The sequence below is a fragment of the Homo sapiens genome, chromosome 8, assembly GCF_000001405.40.
Source record: "Homo sapiens chromosome 8, GRCh38.p14 Primary Assembly".
Lineage (NCBI taxonomy): Eukaryota > Metazoa > Chordata > Mammalia > Primates > Hominidae > Homo > Homo sapiens.
Window position 1 is genome coordinate 95,946,534 of NC_000008.11, and position 19,982 is coordinate 95,966,515.

The 19,982-nt window shown below is 37.7% G+C and overlaps 1 pseudogene across 1 annotated transcript; it reads right to left on the bottom strand.

The window, feature by feature from the left end:
- Positions 1 to 450: 450 nt before the first annotated feature.
- On the bottom strand, positions 451 to 1,815 carry SRSF3P2 (SRSF3 pseudogene 2; annotated as a pseudogene). Its single transcript, NR_036611.1, has one exon. The product of NR_036611.1 is annotated as an SRSF3 pseudogene 2 (transcript).
- Between the last annotated feature and the right edge of the window lie 18,167 nt (positions 1,816 to 19,982).

Genomic DNA, 19,982 nt, shown 5'->3' on the forward strand with positions numbered 1-19,982 from the left:
TCCTGGGTAAGTCTGTGAGGGTGTTGCCAAAGGAGGTTAACATTTGAGTCAATGGACTGGGAAAAGCAAACCCACCCTTAATCTCGGTGGGCACCATCTAATCAGCTGCCAGAGTGGCCAGAATAAAAGCAGGCAGAAGAACGTGAAAAGGCTAGACTGGCTTAACCTCCCAGCCTACATCTTTCTCCCATGCTGGATGCTTCCTGCTCTCAAACATCGGCGGACTCTAGTTTCTTCAGCTTTGAGACTTGGACTGGCTTCCTTGCTCCTGAGCCTATTGTGGGAGCTTGTGATCGTGTGAGTTATTACTTCTTAATAAATTCCTCTTTATACAGACATCTATCCTATTAGTTCTGTCCCTCTAGAGAACGCTGAAATACAATGGCTAATGCAGGGAGAGTTTACTGTGTACTGGTGACTCATTCAATTGTCATAAACAGCTTTTTTTTTTTTGTAAGCAAAACTATAATCCCAAGGATTCTCACAAAACATATTACAAATGACAGCATGAAAACAAATTTTTGCATAGTAACTCAAAGTTCACTTCTACAAAATACCCTTAAACTGGCAGGACATTGGTATTTTGAAATCTCAAATTTCCTAGTGAAGAATGTTACAAACAGGCATGTCTTCATATATAGCAATTACATAAGGAACTTATGACCTAAAGTAAAGGTAAACTTACTTGAAATTTAACAGATTCTATACCAACTTGGCAACCTCTCCCAGGGTGAAAACCAGTTGGATTTCTCAAAAACCTCTAATTTAGTTTGATGTTGCAGCTTTTCTTTTTATCCATTGGCTTGTGTTCCACAGCAACTTTTACCACTTGCTTAACTATAGCTGCATACTATATCACAGCTATGGAAAAAAAGTAAATCTTAGTTCCACTTTTGCCAGTTTTGTTTCTGTATTTTTTAAAAAATTACATTTCTACTAGGCAGAATTTAGAGGTTTATTATCAGTCTATGCATAACTAAAGTTCAAAGCAAATTCGATTTTGCTTAAGGGAACATCATAAAGTAGCAATTCTTGGTGTTACATGCTTCACAGAATCTATTTCAAACCACAGAGAATTGCACCTTTGTGTGTCACTGTTCCCAAAGGCAAACAAATTTGAAAAGTTAAAACATATTTAAAATGTACCATGCTTATGAAGTCTCAAACAAAACTTGAGTTTTCTGCACATACTCTCGTCAAATGAAGTTATTTCCTGCATACAACTTCTCTTGCAAACTGGTCTTCTATTTCCTTTCATTCAACTTAAACTGACTGAGACCTAGAGAAGGATCGGGACGGCTTGTGATTTCTCTCCCAAGACAGTGATCTCTGTGTTTTCTCCTATCTCTAGAAAAGAAGATACTCCCCCTGTGAGAGAAGCTTTTCCTTCTTGGACATCTGCGGAGAGGTGGAGGACTCCTACGATGATCATCTCGAGGGTGACAGTCCCAAGAGATAGGTGGGCCATCATTTCTACTCACAGGGCAGCTACACAGCGATCTTCCATCTAGCTCTCATACAGCTTCAGCCGCATCTTGGGTTCAAATTCAAAAAAAGCTAAGTCGGGAGGATTTCTAGCAACCTACACACTTCAGAGTGGTCCTTAGTAGCGAAAGCCCATTCCAATTAAGTTTTGTTGCCATTTTTCCAAGATAACCTAGATAAACTTTACCATCCACTGAACAGAAATCATGATGCATTTCAAGAGCTAGGGTAAAAAGTGCTGAGGCTCAAATCTGCATGCTCCAAAGGACCTTCCTGCTTCCCTCCTGCCCAACTCCCACTGATGCTGTTGCTTACCAGGCATTCAGGAAACAGCAGATAAACAGCTCTTTGAGGGTAGATGCTATTATGATCCTTATTTTGCAAAAAAAAAGAAAAAAAAGAAAAAGCAATGAAGGCACTGAAAGAGGAAGTAACTTACCTCTGGTGCTATAACTGGTAAGTGGCTGAGCTGGCATTTCAACCAAGCAATCTGTCACAGCATCTGTGTTCTTAAGCACTACACTATTGTCTTGTGACTTTGCCCATCCTGTTCCCCCTGCTCTTCCTCACCCTGTCAGTCCAGCACAAACATATTCATGCTTCAATACCCAGATCAACTACCACATCCCTATAAAGCCTTTGTCCCTCCCACAGAGAGATACTTTGATGTCACACATCTTTATTCTTTCACTCAAGTTGAATTCTACTGCCCTATTAAGATATAGATTACACTGGCTCAGATCCCCAGTTTTTCAGACAGTGGGAATCCAAAACCCTTCCCCAGTATTTCTATGCATTCCTGGGAAGACTTTGAATGTGATGGGTAATTTTATGTGTCGACTTGACTGGACCACAAAATGCCCAGACATTTGGCCAGAGGATGTTCTGGGTGTGTCAGTGAGGATGTTCCTGAATGAGATTTACATTTGAATCAGCCAGGAGGGTGGCTCATACCTGTAATCCTATCACTTTGGGAGGCTAAGGTGAGAGGATTGCTTGAGCCCAGGGATCTGAGACCAGCCTGGGCAACATAGTGAGAACTTGACTCTACAAAAAAATAAAATTAACTGGGCATAGTGGTGCATGCTTGTAGTCCCAGCTACTTGGGAAGCTACAGTGGGAGGATCACTTGAGTCCAAGAGGTTGAGGCTTCAAAGAGCCGAGGTTGCGCCACTGCATTCTAGCCTGGGTGGCAGAGCAAGACTCTGTCTCAAAAAAAAAAAAAAAAACCGAAATTGAATTAGTAGATTGGGTAAAGCAGATTGTGGCCCCTAAAATGGGTGGGCCTCACCTAATTGACTGAAGTCCTGAATAGAACAAAAAGACTGAGCAAGAGGAAACCCACTCTATTTGACTGCTTGAACTAAGACACTGGCTTTTTCCTTGCCTTCAGACTCGGACAGAAAGCATTGGCAGGCTTCAGCCTTCAGACTAGAACTTATGCCATTGGCTCCCTTGGGTCTGCAGCTTGCTGACTGCAGATCTGGGGACTTCTCAGCTTCATAATAAATCTTTGTATACATACACACACGCACGCATGCACACATACACACATCCTATTGGTTTTGTTCCTCTGAAAACTCTAATACAATAATAAATATTTATCGTGTAGTAAATAACAAATAATACTATGGGTGAGTTTTCGTATTGATTTAAATTACTCAATGATTATAAGTGTATTTAGGTTGTTAATCTATCTTGATTGAGTTTTGGTCATTCATGTTTTAGAAAAAATTGTCCTTAAAATTACCAAATTTATTGGCATAAACTTCCCTTATGGCTTTTAAGATCTCTAGTCTTCTATAATTTTAGTGCTTATTTATTCCTAATATTGTTTATTTGTATATTTCTCCTTTTTTCTTGATTAATTTTGTCAATAGTTTGTCGTTGTATTAAGATTTTCAAACTGGTGTTGGTTTTCTATTTCATGACTTTTTACCCTTTTCAAAAATTATTTTCTTAATTTACTTTCTTTGGATTTTTTCTATTGTTCTTTTTCTAAATTTTGAGTTGAATGTTTAGCTCATTGATTTTCAGTCTTTTTTTTTTTTTTAGACGGAGTTTCACTCTTATCACCCAGGCTGGAGTGCAGTGGTGTAATCTCAGCTCACTGAAACCTCCACCTCCTAGATTCCAGTGATTTTCCTGCCTTAGCCTCCTGAGCAGCTAGGATTACAGGCGTGAGCCACCGCGCCCAGCCTGTCTTTTTTTTTTTTTTTAAACTACTTTATAGTATCAATTTTCCTCTAAGCACAAGTTTTTATTTGTAGAATTTTCTTGTTACATGTTCAGTTCTAAATAATTAATATTTTTCTTTAAGATTTCTTATTTGACCAATGAATTATTCTGAAGTCTAATTTTTCATTTCTATTTCTATGGGGTTTTCTTCACTTTTTTTTTTTGAGATAGAGTTTCCCTCTTGTTGCCCAAGCTGGAGTGCAATGGCATGATCTCAGCTCACTGCAACCTCTGCCTCCCAGGTTCAAGTGATTCTCCTGCCTCAGCCTCCCAAAGTGCTGGGAGTAGCTGGGATTACAGGCACAGGCCACCACACCCAGCTAATTTTTTATAATTTTTTTTTTTTTTAGGAGAAACAGGATTTCACCATGTTAGCCAGGTTGGTCTCGAACTCCTGATCTCAGGTGATCCACCCACCTCAGCCTCCCAAAGTGCTGGGATTACAAGCACGAGCCACTGCACCTGGCCTCTTCACTATTTTTATATTGATTTCTAATTTTATTACATCATAGTAAAAAAATATTGTTTTTACTAAATTAATTATTTAATAGTTGATGAGGTTAACTTTGTGGCCTAGTATGAGAACAATTTTTAAACATTGTTACATGTGTTTTAAGATATGTGTCCAGTTTTCTGTATGTGTCCATTGGAACTGACAATGTAATTATATTTTTTGAATCTTCTATATACTTACTACATTTTTATACGTTTATTACTTTTTGAGAGAACTATAGTAATCTTCCTTTATAATTGTGGAGTAGTCAGTTCTCCTTATAATTTTTTTCCACATTGAAGCTAAATGTTTAGATATACACAGATTCAGAATTTAACATACTATTAGTAAACTGTTCCTTTATTATTAAATAATAACTTCATCTCTCGTATTTTTTGCCTTAAATTTCACTTTAATATCAATATTTGCAATATTAAAGATATTAATATTGCAATATTAATATTTTGAGGGGTCATTAATGGCCTGACATACACATTTTCCATCCCTTTATTTTCTTATGTTTTGCCCCATACTTTCTTTATATCTCTTTTTATTTCTTCTCTTTTTCTTTCTTCTGCTTTTAAATTTGTTTTTATTTTACTAGATTCTTTAGCTGAATACATGTTCACTCTTCTTCTTCTTCATAGTGGACCTTTTACTTCTGTTGGTCAAGCTACTCTCCCTTCTCACATAAAGAATACCCACTTTCTTAAGTGCTCCACCCCCTCTCTAACACATGTTCTGAATAGGAGGTAGATTACACCTGCCTCTCTGGCCCAGTGATTGGTATTGGTCAAGAGGTAGGAATCTGATTATGTTAGGCCAATCAGAGTTCTGCTCCAGGATTATTCAAACTGGAGCTGAAAGAAATGGGGAGAGGGAGTGGAGGGACCTTTTCCTCTGTGATGGTATAAATAAGAACCTTGATGCCACTCCATGGAGAAATTCAGTCTGCAATAGGAGAGAGTGCACCTGACACATAGATGGAAGCAGGAACAGGAGGAGAGAGAAAGAACCCTGGGATAACTGAGCAGCAGCAACGTCCATCCATACTTCCCATTGGTGAACCAATAGGTGTTCCTTTTTGTTCCAACTGATTAAGGTTGGATTTGCTTCCATCCATAAGATTCCTGAATAATATTTGTTTTAATGATGAAAAATAGGAGGGAATGACAGGAGGTATGAATGCAGCTTTCACTGCATCCTTTAAATTTTGCTATAAACTGTTCACATTACTGTTAATTTGTAAATTGACCAAGAGTATTTAGGAGAGTATTTTTTTTCAAATGTGTAGGATTTCCTCTGTTTATGTTGTTTAAATTTATTCTATTAGTTTCTAGTTTGGCTGCCTTATAGACAAAGAATATAACTCAACCCCAAGCTGTTTTTATTTTTGGTATGTATCAGGATTTTCATTACGGCCTGTTTTGAGCTCAGTTATGAGATCCACTTTTGTAAATAATCCATAGATGTCAAAAAGAAAGGTATGTTTTCGATGGCATGTTATCAATGAGTAATTCTTAATACTATTAGTAATAAAAACATTAATGTTTTATTAAAAAGGTAACCTTAGTAACATTTAATGTCCTTTATTTTTAGTTTACTTAAACCATCAAATACTAAAAGTGGCATATTAAATTCATCCACTATTATTGTCTTTCTGGTGATGTCTACTAGTATATATAAGCTTATTGTTATTTGATTTACTTTGATGTATTAGTTTTGTTATATTTCAATATTGTTATTAAGTGCAAAACTTCTTCATGACTATGACACCTGTCTTGTTTATTTTACAGCTTATCAACAACATAAAATAACTTGCATTCATTTGATGTTTTGCAGCTAATTAATATTGTCTAAAGTAGATATTGTCTAAAGTAGATATTGTCAAATCAGTTTTTGGTTTGTTATTGCCCAATAAATATTTCCCCTTCTGTTACATTTAATTGTTCTCTGTCATTTTGCTTTTAGGTGTGTGTGATCATCAATTTTATGTGTCAACTTGGCCGGGCCATGACGCCCAGATATTTAGTCAAACATTATTCTGGATGTTTCTGTAAGGGTATTTTTTCAATGAGTTTAACATTTAAATTGGTTTACTTTGAATACAGCAGACTGCCCTCCATAAAGTGAGTGGGCCTCATCCAATCAATTGAAGGCCTTAATAAAATAAGACTGAATTCCTCTGAGCAAGACAGAACTCTACTAGCAGCCTTCAGACTTGAACTACAACATCAAGAGAGAGTGCAAGAGAGAAAAGAGATATAGATGTTGATACACACACACACACACACACACATCCTGTTGGTCTTGTTTTCTTGGAGAACTCTGACTGATACAGTGTGTTTCTTAAAAACAGCATGAAATACAGTTTTGCATATTGATCTAAAATGATCACCTTTGTTTATTAACATAAATATCAGCAAATTTAAGTAAAAGCTGTTATGTTTGGTCATCTGTAATCTCATGTTATCTCTTTTTAATTATCCCTGTGCTTTCCTTTCTTTCCCATATTTTAGTGTAAGTGCTGTGTAGTTTTATTTATTTGCTTGGTTGGTTTCAGTTTTTTAATGAATTGGAAAAAAAATGCAATTTTTAATTATTTTGATGGTTACTTTTATATTTTTAAAATACATTCAGCCTATATTTTTCTAAGTATTAATAATTAATACTTATAGATTGAAATAGAAACTTGCCTTTCCCAGAAAATCCTCCATGAGTCCTATCCCAATCACAGTCCCTACCCTTACCCTAAAAAAAGAACTCTGTCCAGACTTTCCTCATAATCCCTTCCTGCATGCCTTTAGGTTTTGTTTTATCCCCGAGTGTGCATCCTTTAGTCTTGCCTATCACTTATCTTTTAAGTCTTTTTTGGCCTTCACTTTCCCTCTATTCCTTTCTTTTCCTTGTAAATCAAGCATTGAAGAACCAAAGATTTTAACCTGTAGAGTTTCCTATGGCCTGTTTTTGCACAGCACATGCTCTTGGTGCAGTTCAACACGTTTTTGGTCCCTTGAGTTTCCTGCAAATGGACAGCTGGATCCAGAGACATTAAGTGCCTCCTATTATTTTGCCACTCCCATTACCCCACTGGCAAGATAATAGGAGGCATATTATGTATGATTTCTCTGTTTTCATAATGTTATAGCCATTGGTGATCAGAATTGTAGGTTGAAGCATGGTAACATTAAATTCTATCATTTTGTTTTCATTTATTAGTGAAATAATTTTGTAAGATGTTTCCTCTCATCTACCATTTGGTTACACCATGGTACAGATCATACACAAAAGAGCAGGATTCTTTTGTTTATTCACCCAGTTTTCAAGTTAACATATTAATTCCCTGTTATCTTCAGAAAATGACCAATTGGTTTGTTTTAAAATATCCCATGGATTTAAGACTATTAGATGAGTTTTGATCTATTCCAATTTTTATCTTTAATGAAACTCAAAATATTCTATCTTTGACTAGTGGGATCCTCTTCCAATTGGTTACGAGGGTTTTGTTTTTTGCTTTTGATGTGATCCTAATAATCTTTTATAGCTTGCTTTCTTTTTTAATATATTTTATAATATATAAAATAATTTTATATTTAATGATATATATTTATCCATTTATTAAAATAAAATACTTTGTAAGTTTACACTGCTATTTACTGATATTTTCCATTCAAATTTAGAACTGCAGCATTTTTGCTTAACCTCTTCTATATTATATCTGTATCCCTTTTATTCCACTCTGAGAATCCTGGCTCTCAAATACACAAGAGATGATAGAAATAGAATACCTCATATTTACTTGCTTGCTTTATCCACTCTTCACATACAACTGTCTTAGAATGACAACTTAATATTGCTACCACCAATTATAATTACTAGAAACAGTTCTAATTTCAATTTGCTCTTGTTCTTTTCATTCTTCCTCACAATTTTATGGTTGGGTTGTATCTATATTTTCAGATCTTTTAGCCATTACATATTATAACCACTTCCTTTTAAACCTCATACGGTCTTATTTCTGCAAATAATTATATGTTGAATACTTACCACGTGTCTTTAGGTTGCTGTCTTACCCATCATTTTGCTCGCCTAAAGCCTGTTTTTTCAGTAGATTGTTTATTAAATCTCATGGGAACAATATTTCTTGAGTTCTTAAAAGTTTACAACAGTTTATATTTATATTTGAAAGAAAATTTTATTGGACATAAAATTCTTGGCTCATGTTTTTTTCCTCGACTATCTTAAATATGTTACCTCATTTTCTTCTTATGCAAACGTTAATGTCAAAAGTCTGAGGATAACTTATATTTTCTTGTAAGTTATTGCTTATTTTTGCCAGACATCAAAAACATGTTTTTCTTTAATGTCCAGTAATCTTGCTAGACTATATCTTGGCATTGGTCATTCTTCTTAGATATACCATGTACTCTTTCAGTATGGTATTTCAAATATTATTTTATTTCAGTGAAGTATCCTTGAATTACAGTTCTCATTAGTCATTCTGTTCATTTGCTTCCCCTATTCTGTGGTGGCTCCTATTATCAATATTTTGGATCTCCTTTTTCTGTCTTCAATGTTTGTCACTTTCTGTCAATCCCTTTTTTGTCTTTTTCTTCTCTTGATTCTGATGTTTTCTCGTTTACGTGTTCTATTTCACTTCAGGTATTTGTCATGTTTATTCATTCTTGCTTTTCTTCTAGTTTAGTCATTTCTAAAATGTTTTTTTTTGCATGTTTAATTATTTATTGAGTTATGTCATCTCATTTCTTAGGTTTTCTAATTCTGATTCATGTCCTTTCACACATAGTATAATTTTCTTAATCTTTTCCATTGGTTTTGGAATGATCTATTACAGTTTCATCTATTACAGGTTTATGAACATGTCTTTCTGGCATGATTTCATTGTCTGCAAGGATGTTATTCTACTTCTTAATCTCTTTTTTCCTATAATACCTCTGCAAGAGATTTGGCCTCAGTAATTTTCTGTTGCTTATTTTTATGTGAATTTAGCTTTTCTTAACTTTTAGAAAGAGGCTTGGCTCAGAGATCTCTTTTAACTTTACATTAGACAACCTCTTACATTGTTTTTGTATAGTATTTTAAAATATAGTGGCTTATTTTCAAAAATTCCTGGCTCTGCTGCCTCTATACTTCTCCCAGAAGTTTCTTTGGTATGATGTCCTGGTGGGTCAGTTGTGAGATTTCATGGAGGTATACTGTTTCAGCCACTTTAGGCCTTACAGGGAGTCCCATGCACTCACAAACTACTATAAAGTCAAAAGTTTGCTCAGATCTATCAACTTTCTCAAATCAGCTGACTATGATCCCCAGGAAATAACTTGGGCTATGCATTCCCTCACTCATAGGTCCTTCTGCTTTCTCCAGCACTGATGGAACACACAAACTTGTGGCTATGGTGATTTGTCACTTTTCATTTACATTTGGTTTGTGGAGATACCTTATCACCTAGTTTTTAAAATGATATCCAGGAATTTTGTTTTGCTATCTACATGCTCTGTTTTTTTAATATGGGGATTCAGGAATGTCCCAGAGCTATGCAGTCACCACCAAAGCCGTCTTTCCTAATTCTTAAGATGTTATTAACTTATAGTCTCCAGACTAGCTGAAGTGCAGCTAATTAGTGTTTTCAGCTGTTTGTTTATTCCAGGAACATACATAAATGATCTATTTCCTGAGCTCTTTCTTATCCTGAAATTTCTTTCATTTGAAAATTTACTGAGTATAGAACTCTTGAATCTCAACCATTTCCTTTAAAGTTCTGTACAGAGTATTCCTTGGTTCCCTAGTTCTCAGTATTGCAAAAAAGAAATTCTGTATCAGGTTTCTTCATTTATTTATTTAAGGTATTTTTGTGTTGTTATTGTTTATAAGTCTTGTTCATTTGATGATCTTTGTATAATTTTTTATTTGTATAATTTTAAAGTTTCATCAGAATATATCTAAATCAGCTTTGCCAAAACTGAATCCTGCAACAGTGATCTTCAAACTGACATACACATAGTCCTGGTGGTATAGAAAGACTTTCAAATTGGATGTGGGCATAGATATAAAGGAATTAATTTCCAGATTCTCAGCTTCTATACATAAGTTTTCATAAAATTGATCTGCCTAGCAAAAGACATGCTATCAAGACATCAAAAGTTTCTTCTTTTGTACTTCCCCTTTCACAAGTACCCTTCTGCTACTGTTATAGTTTAGATATTTGGCCTTCCAAACAACATGTTGAAATTCTATCTCCAATGTTGGAGATGGGGCCTGATAGGAGGCGTTTGGATTGTGGGGACAGAACCTTCATGAATGGCTTAGTGCCACTGTCACAGGAGTGAGTGAGTTCTCAGTCTTAGTTCCTATGAAAACCGGTTGTTGAAAACAGCATGGCTCCTCCTCCTCCTCCTCCTCCTCCTCCTCCTCCTCCTCCTTCTCTCTCTCTCTCTCTCTTTCTCTCTCCTTCTCCCTGCTTACACCATGGGTTGGGCTTCCCTTTGCCTTCCACCATGAGTGGAAGCAGCTTAAGGCCCTCACCAGATGCAGACGTCAGCACCATGTTCCTAGTACAGTCTGCAGAACCGTGAGCCAAATAAACTTCTTTTCTGTATAAATTACTCAGCCTTGAGTATTCCTTTATACCAACACAAATGAACTAAGACAGCCACTTTAGAAAAGAACTCTCTCACTCTGTCTAAATCTTAATAAGGTGCTGTAGTGGTTTTTAAAAAGTGGCTGCTAGGCCTTTGACATTTCTTCCATCAAAAAGTGGAGTCCCCTTAGATTTGGGCTAGATTATAGCTGTTTTAACCAATAGAGTACAGTAGAAGAGATGCTAAATGACTTCCAAGAGTAAGTCATAAAAGGCAATGCAGTTTCTGTTTTGCTTACTGGAAAACTTGTACTGGAGCTCTGAACCCCCTACGAAGTCTGACTATACCAAGGCTGCAGTGGTGTAGCTCAAGCCACATGGAAAGGTTATGTGTGGGCCTTTGGACGGACAGTTTCAGCTAAGTCCAGACTTCAAGTAATTTCAGTCCAGATACAGGGCATTTGAATGATAGTGTCCCCTTCAAAATTCATATGTTAAAATTTAATCAACAATGTAGTAGTATTAAGAGGTGAAACCTTAAGAGGTGATTAAGTCATAAGGGCTGAGCCCTCATAGATTGGATTAGGGCTCCTATAAAAGGGTGAGAGGGAGTGAGTTTGCTATCTTCTATGCTTTCACCATGTGAGGACACAGAAAGAAGGCCCCCACAAGACATACAATCTGCTGGCACCTTGATCTTAGACTTTCCAGCCTCTACGACCATGAGAAATAAATTTCTGTGCTTCATACCCAGTCTGTGGTGTTTTGTTATAGCAGCACAAATAGACTAAGATAAGAAGCGTCTAGATAATTCTGGTCCCCAGCTTAGGGTCACACAAGCCTTTGATTTTTCTCAGCTGAGTCCCCACACATCAAGGAGAGGAGATAAGCATCCTCACTACAACCTGACCAATTCTTAACCACAGAATCTGTAAATAAAACAAAATGGTTGTTTGCCTCTGAGTCTGGGGATGGTTTCTTACATAACAACAGGTGCATTGGCCCAGGGTTTAAAAACTTCCAGGGCACCAAACAAAGGAATCATTTGGAATATTGGAACAGATGTTGATAAAAATGAAGGACTCGAATGACTGGCTAGCACACATTATTACATGACGTGGCTTCTAATCCTTTCCTTTCAACAAAATTATAATAAGACTTTATAGATTTATTAGCTGTTAGATAATTAAAATAATTTTTGATGTTTGGTAGCTATGTGAATTTTGGTATATAAATCATAAACAATTCAAAGAATATATAATAGCTATAATACAAATCTTTCTAGTCCTATTTATGTAAACAAAATATCATTGCATTTTCATTCATAAAAATAAAAAATAAGAATAGAGTGGATGCGAGATCATGTTTCATTCTAATAGTAATATTCGCTCAGGATCATGTGAACTGACCAAAAGATAAACAGACCTAAACATCTCATTAAGAACAGCATTTCCAATAAAAATCATACTTCTTATGGTTAACAATTATTTATCAAAATGTGTGATAGCCAGGTGCAGTGGCTCATGCCTATAATCCCAGCACTTTGGGAGGACGAGGTGGGTGGATCACTTGAGCTCAGGAGTTTGAGACAAGCCTGGGAAACACAGCAAAACCCCATCTCTACTAAAACCATGAAAATTAGCCAAGTGTGTACACCTGTAGTCCCAGCTACTCGGGAGGATGAAGTGGTGGGATCACTTGAGTCCAGGTCAATGCTACAGTGAGCCTTGATTGTGCCACTTTACTCCAGCTTGGGTCAGAGCAAGACCCTGTCTCAAAAAAAAAAAAAAAAAGGTGATGTAGCTACATCAGTTTAATCAGTTGATAACAATTGTAATTATATCTCAAACTAGAAAAAAATTATTTAACACTTAGAGCCTATGGTTACAGAAAAAATATTTTCTATCTTTATTGAGGTATAACTAGCAAAAATTACATATATTTAGGGTGTACAACATGTTTTTAACATATGTATGTATTGTGAAATGATTACCCCAGTAAAACTAATTAACATATTCATCACTTCACATAATTTGGGAGCTTTGGCATGGGGAAAAGAGGAGATAATGGTCAAAGGGTACAAATCTTCAGCTCTAAGATGAATAATTACTGGAGATATAATGTATAACATGGTGACTGTAGTTAATAATAATATACTGTATACTTGAAATCTTCTAAGAGGGAAGATCTCAAGTTTTGTCACAGAAAACTTTTTCAAGTTTAAATTTTTAAATGTATCAATTTTAAATTTAAATGTATATCATATTTCTGCTGTTGAAAATACGATAATCAATATTTTAAAAATCCATGCTTAAAATATACCCTACAGGGAAAGGAAAATCAAACTGAAAATCTGAAAAACTATTTTAAATTTTCAACTGTTAAAGACGAGCTTGTTCATGTACTTTTTAAAGTAGATAATGGTCATTATAAAAATAATTAAAGTATTTAGATTACACTGGACACATTTTAAGTAGTGATCATATATTTTTGTCTTGAAATATTAATGTTCATAATACACTAGAAAGATCCTTTGCAACTATTTAAACTTATGATCTCAACTTTAAAAGGTATGAAGCAGCCAGGCGCAGTGGCTCACACCTGTAATCCCAGCACTTTGGGAGGCCAAGGTGGGAGGATCACTTGAGCCCAGGAATTCGAGTGCAGCCTGGGCAACATAGTGATACCGTCTCTACAAAAAACATGAAAAATTAGCCAGGTGTGGTGTCACGCACCCGTAGTCCCAGCTATTCAGCGGGTGCGGGGAGCCTGAGGTGGGAGGATTGCTAAGCCCAGGAGGTTGAGGCTGCTGTGAATTGTGATTGCGCTACTGTACTCCAGCTTAAGTAACAGAGAGTGAGACCCTGTCTCAAAAACAAACAAACAAACAAAAGGTATGAAGCATTTACATTTTTTCGTTACCTTTCTTTGTTTGCCTCATTGAGCCTTTTTAATCTCTTCCTACTCCCTAAACAACTTACTTTTAATCTTAGTCTATTGTCTCATCACCTTCTCTTTCCTCTTATTTGATAAAGGACATGTTTTGAGAATTTTATCGAGAACACAAAACAGATGCTTTCAAAGATTTATTTTGTATTCTTTCAGTTAACTTTTTTCTAACACAAGTTTTCCTTGGTATCTTACATGAGCTCTTTGTTCTTTCTTATATTTCCTAATATTTTCACAAGCCGTTTGTTGATTTTTTTTCCCTTGTTGGTTCATGTGCTCTGATTGTCTATCTCCTCCTCAGATGTGTGATTTTATTACTGTATGTAAACAATGGAGGTGTTGGACAACCCCAGCTGCATTTCTTCCTAATCTTGCTATATCTTTTAGGATTCTATACGTGACTGGGTTGATGCAAATTGTCTCTACAGATTACAAAACCCTTGACTGGTACTCCTGTTGATGTTATTGAAATCTTGCATTTTTTTCAGTGATTTTCATAATAAAGCCAGTAGGGAATTATTAACCAGTCATCCTGATAATCTATAAGTTAGGGATGAGAAGCTTTCAAATGTTTATATCAATATATCAATCTTTTTTTTTATAGAGTCATAAGGGGAATGGAGTATTTTGAGAATGCCTCAAGTGGCAGGAAGAGGTGTGTGGCAATGAATCCCAGCTCACAGTTCACTGAAAATCAGCATGCTGTAAGATGCTGATCTTTGATTCAAGCATTTCCTTAGCCCAGCTGCTGCCTAAGAGCCTTTAATTAGAAGAAACACAATACTTTTCAAACTATGATGTTGGCTAGCATCCATTTGTATTTGGTTCTTACAAAGGCCAATATTTAATGCCATCAGAGCTCACTCTGGGGAGAGTTCGCGCCTAACCTCCCAGAGCCAAAAATATCCCCCAGACACAAACACAAACGTAGGTTCCATTCTACGCTAAGTTGAAGCAACATATTATTTTTCTATAATCAGCAAAGTTGTAAGGAAAACAAGTGTGCAAAAGGCATTTCTCTGAATAGTGCTGAACTATGCAGATGACACCTATGGCATTTTCCTCTCAGTCCCTCCTCAATCCACAATAGTTAACACGTGGAACTCCATGTGAGCATGGTATGACCCCCACCCTCCACTCAGCTGATCGACCCAGAGCTGGGCACCAGATCCAAGCTAGACCAATCCAGTGTCCCATCTCTCCAGCTACAGCTGACTGTTCCAGGGGTCAGCACCTATCTGAAGTCGTGCCAGTAAGTTCCACACTGAACACTTGGACTTGGGACTGAATTATATCAGTCTTTTCTCAGTGGTGAAGGGAGAAACTCAAGTCATATTTTCTACCATGTGGAGAAAGCCAGATGACACTAGGAAAGTGTTCCAGTTAAAATGGAGGCTCAAGGCCAGGTGCAGTGGCTCACGCCTGTAATCCCAGCACTTTGGGAGGCCAAGATGGGTGGATCACATGTTCAGCAGATCAAGAGCATCCTGGCCAACATGGTGAAACCCCATCTCTACTAAAAACATAAAAATTAGCTGGGTGTCGTAGCACGCACTTGTAATCCCAGCTACTCAGGAGACTGAGGCAGGAGAATGGTTTGAACCCAGGAAGCAGAAGTTGCAGCGAGCCAGAGATCAACCCACTGCACTCTAGCCTGGCGACAGAGCAAGACTTCATATAAAAAAAAAAAAAAAAAGTAGACTCATCTGCAACCCTGCTACTTCTTGTTTTTGTTGTTGTTGTTGCTGTTTGTTTGAAATGGAGTCTTGCTCTGTCGCCAGGCTGGAGTGCAGTGGCGTGATCTCGGCTCACTGCAACCTCTGCCTCCCGTGTTCAAGCAATTCTCCTGCCTCAGCCTCCCAAGTAGCTGGGATTACAGGCACCTGCCATCACGCCCAGGTAACTTTTGTATTTTTAGTAGACATGGGGTTTCACCGTGTTAGCCAGGATGGTCTCGATCTCATGACCACATGATCCGCCCTCCTAGGCTTCCCAAAATGCTGGGATTACAGGTGTGAGCCACTGCGCCCAGCCAACCCTGCTACTTCTATAGCTAACGTCTTTAACTCTTCCTTGGATTTCCCTTGAGGATCAAGAATCTTGAGAACAAATTCCCATTCTTGGTTAAAATGGTTTGAGTTTGATATCTAGATTTGCAAACAATCAATTTCTGACTTATAAAATCAGGTTTATCAGGTCTGACTACAAATTAGTTACCAGTCTTTATTTTTATGAAACAGAAAGCTATATTATTTCTCTTGGTCATTGAGTCTTTTCTGTCATCTATTTCTTATAGTTTTCTTTTTTACTCTACTTGGGGTTAAAAAAATCCTTCTTTCAAAATGGCCTCTTACAAACAGCGATTGCTCTGAGAGTTTATCTACATAGGACTGTTCCCACATGCACAATGCTTGATAACTGCAGTAAAATATCCAGCGGTTGTGCCTTCTACTGCCAAAATTCTCTTAGAAATGGAAACCAGAACAGCCTTTTTTTTTTAGATAGGCCATATTCCAAGATTTTGTTCATTTAAGAAAAAATATAGGAAGCAAAACAAATGAAAGAAAAACAAGTCATGACCCAAGAAAAATTGTGCACATCATTCCACAGCTGCTACACGCACAGTGGGCACATGTGCATAAGGAGCTACCACATAGCATAAGGAGGGCTCACCAAAAAGCTGGGAAATCACTGTTCCTGCCTCAAAGGCAGAAGCCATGAGCGTGAGTGTCCCCGTGATCAGAAAGGGAGATGGGGTGAGATGGGATGGAATGGATGTGTGCGCATGTGCATGCACGCGCATTCATGGTTTCAGTATCTCAAGCAATTAGGATTGTGAATAAAAACAAATTTTCTCAGGAGACACACAAGAAACTGGCAGAAACTAATGAAGGCAGTAGGAAGAAGGAGTGGTGGTCTCACTATTATTCATGATTAGCTGCATACCAGCTTTGGCATAGCCACTCTTCACCATCCCTATCTTGTCTTTCCAGCCTCCATTCTCAATTGCATTTCAATGTCACCCTCAAGCATCCAGGCTACAGGAAAGAAGTCCTCTCCAGTGGATTCTTTCACAGTCAAAGTAACTCCTGCTGGAAATGAAATTCTCTCAAAAGGCATACACATGAACCAAATAGGGGTGGCTCTTTGTTCCCCTTCTGAAACATAGCAAGTGCTGATTTCCATCTCCATCTCCCATTTAAAAGTAGATGTAATTAAAATTTTCTTCCTGCTCTTCCATACACAGGCACCACTCTTTGAGAGCTGCTTGCACAAAACCTAGAAATGAACATCAGTCCCTGTTTACACAGCAAAAAGCTTATGAACCAAGATCTCAGACCCCTTCTTCATCCTTTTCTTTTAATTTCTTCTGTTCATCCAGAAGCTGCTGCTGCTCTTGCTGCAGACGTTGACTGCAATTTCTAGCACATGGAGTTAATTAATTGCCAATTTGGTCAAAACAATCAGTCTTGCTGTATTTGTTTTAGCGTCTTCTCCTTTCTAGTTATATACAGAAGAGGAAACCATGGAATTAGGTATTGAGGCATGGTCATTCCACAAAAATGGAGAGTCACAGCAACACATAGGACACAAACAGAAGTCCATCGCCAATTACAAAACTTGAACTCAGGAGCCAAGCCCTGTTGCCCACTATCTGTTTGAGATAAGGTAGCAGAGCACATCCAGGAATCAGGCTGGGAAGATATTCCCTGAAGTTTGTTGGTTGCTTCCTCTGTCCAGAAAGTTCTTATGTATAAGACCCACAACAAGAAGCCACAGATGACAGACAAGGGCAGTTCTTTTTTTTTTTTTTTGAGATGGAGTCTCACTCTGTCACCCAGACTGGAGTGCAATGGCGTGGTCTCAGCTTACTGCAACCTCCGCCACCTCCCCCTCCCAGGTTCAAGCAATTCTCCCCCCTCAGTCTCCCAAGTAGCTGGGATTACAGGCATGCGCCACCACACCCAGCTAATTTTTGTATTTTTAGTAGAGATGGGGTTTCACATATTGGCCAGGCTGGTCTCGAATTCCTGACTTCAGGTGATCCACCCACCTCGGCCTCCCAAAGTGCTGGGATTACAGTCATGAGCCACTGCACCCGGCCACAAGGGCAATTCTTACAGGATCTCTTCTTTTGCCAGGTTCTTCAGCTCTGGTTGTTAAGTAAAGACAAGTAGGGCTGCATGGGTTGTGGCCTCTAGAGTCTCCAGCAGAGCTGGAGCTGTGGTCATGTTCCTAAGTTAGCATTGCCACATAGTGTACAATTGAAGACAGGCAGTAAGAAACAAGCCCAGGTTAGGCTGAGGCTCAAGAAAGTGCTTGGTCCGTTATTATTTAAAAATTCAGCTAATATGGAACATACTGGCTTGAATGCAGTACGGAACATACTGGCTTGAATGCAGTTCATTTTGAACAGTTAGAATCTTCTAGGAGTGAAGTCTGTTAACCCTATCAGCCAGTACTGCAAACGTGTGGGGGTCCACATTGGCACATCAAAATTCAGTTCCAAGAACTTCTGTTACAAAGGAAAAGGACAATCCATATGTGACATGTTCTCTGCAGCAGAGGCTGCCCACAGGTCCTAACTGCAGGTGTGCGAGCCAGCAGCTAACCCTGGGAAACCCACACTGCCTTCAGGAAAAACAATGTGCCTGCGGGGGGGTCAGTCACAGCACACAAGGCCTCAGCCATGTGGCCTGGAGCGCATCATTGACTCCTCCCATACTGTTTCCTCAAACATAAGAGATTGAATTAAATGATCTCTAAGGGCCATGTCTGGGAGGAAAAGCCATGATTATTCTGTGATTACTTAGTGGATTTCAGGGAACTCAGTGGCATATAAGGGTTTTTTTGTTGTTGTTAATTACTGCTGTGATAAATGACATACTTGGAACATTATTAGTGCAATAATCAGGTGCTAGACAGCACACAACATACTCCTAATATTTTCTCTCGGGTCTTACAAAGTACAGACTGACATAGCAGAGATGATCAGTGTGTGAAGTAAGTCCCTTAATGAGAATTAGCTCTTTTTATGACAAGCCACATTTTGGTCACATCTCTTCATTGGCTCTCAGCCAGAGGGAAAAATTATTTGAGCTCAAGATAGGAAACATTACAAAAATTAATAAAATATTACAGCAGCTTTAATGGATGTTATTACCTTAGGGGTTGGGGGATGGGTGGTTAAATACACAGTGTGACCCCTGAATCATCTGCGCATAAGAGAACTACATGAGTGCATATTGCAAGCAGTTTCCTGCATGTGTTTGCCAACCAAAATACGAGTGCTAAGTTCACACTAAGCTCCGGCTTTTGAAAGAAATTCAAGGCTGATGAAAGAAAGAAAGAGAGAAAGACAGACAGAGAGACAGGGGTGGAAGGGGAAGGGAGGGAGGGACGGAGGAAGGAAGGAAGGAAGGAAGGAAGGAAGGGAAGGAAGGAAGGAAGGAAGGATAATGGTTATTTAATGGTTATTTAAAAGTGGACAAAATTATAGACATGACATGTATTTCAAATTAGAAGACTGTACTAATTAGGTTAAACAGCTAAAGGCAAAGTTGTGGAGACATTAGGGAGACAAAAAGAAAACTTCAATAAAAACTACTAAAAGACTTACAGAAAACAGAGAAGCTATTAGATTCATGGAAAAAGAACAAGGTGCTATACAAAAAGAACATTAAAGAGAACAACAAATACTCTTGGAAATTAAAATATGAGAGCAGAAATTACACACACTCAGTAAAAGTTTTGAAAATGAAAGTTGAGGAAATCTTGCAGAAATTGGAACAAAAAGACAAAGAGATAGGAAATGGGGGGAGAATAAAATTAGAAAACAGTCCTAGGCATGAAATAAGAGAGGGAGAAGGAGGAAGGGAGAGAGAGAAAAAAAAGAGAGAGCAGATACATCATCAAAAAAATAATTTAAGAACATTTTTCAGAACTTAAGAACACAGGTGTTCAACCTAAACAGGCTGACAACTGAGAACAATGAAACAGGCCCACCAACGCAAATCATCAAGAAATTTCAGAAGACTAAAGAGAAGATTATATAAGCTTGAGAGAGGAATAAATCCATTTCACACAAAGGGTCAAGAAGAGAATGACACTGCACTTCTCAGCAATAACAGCTGAAGGTAGAAGACACAGGAGTATGGCCAGAAACATTCTCTAAGCAAAAATAACATACAATCTAGAATCCCATGCCCCAATCACACT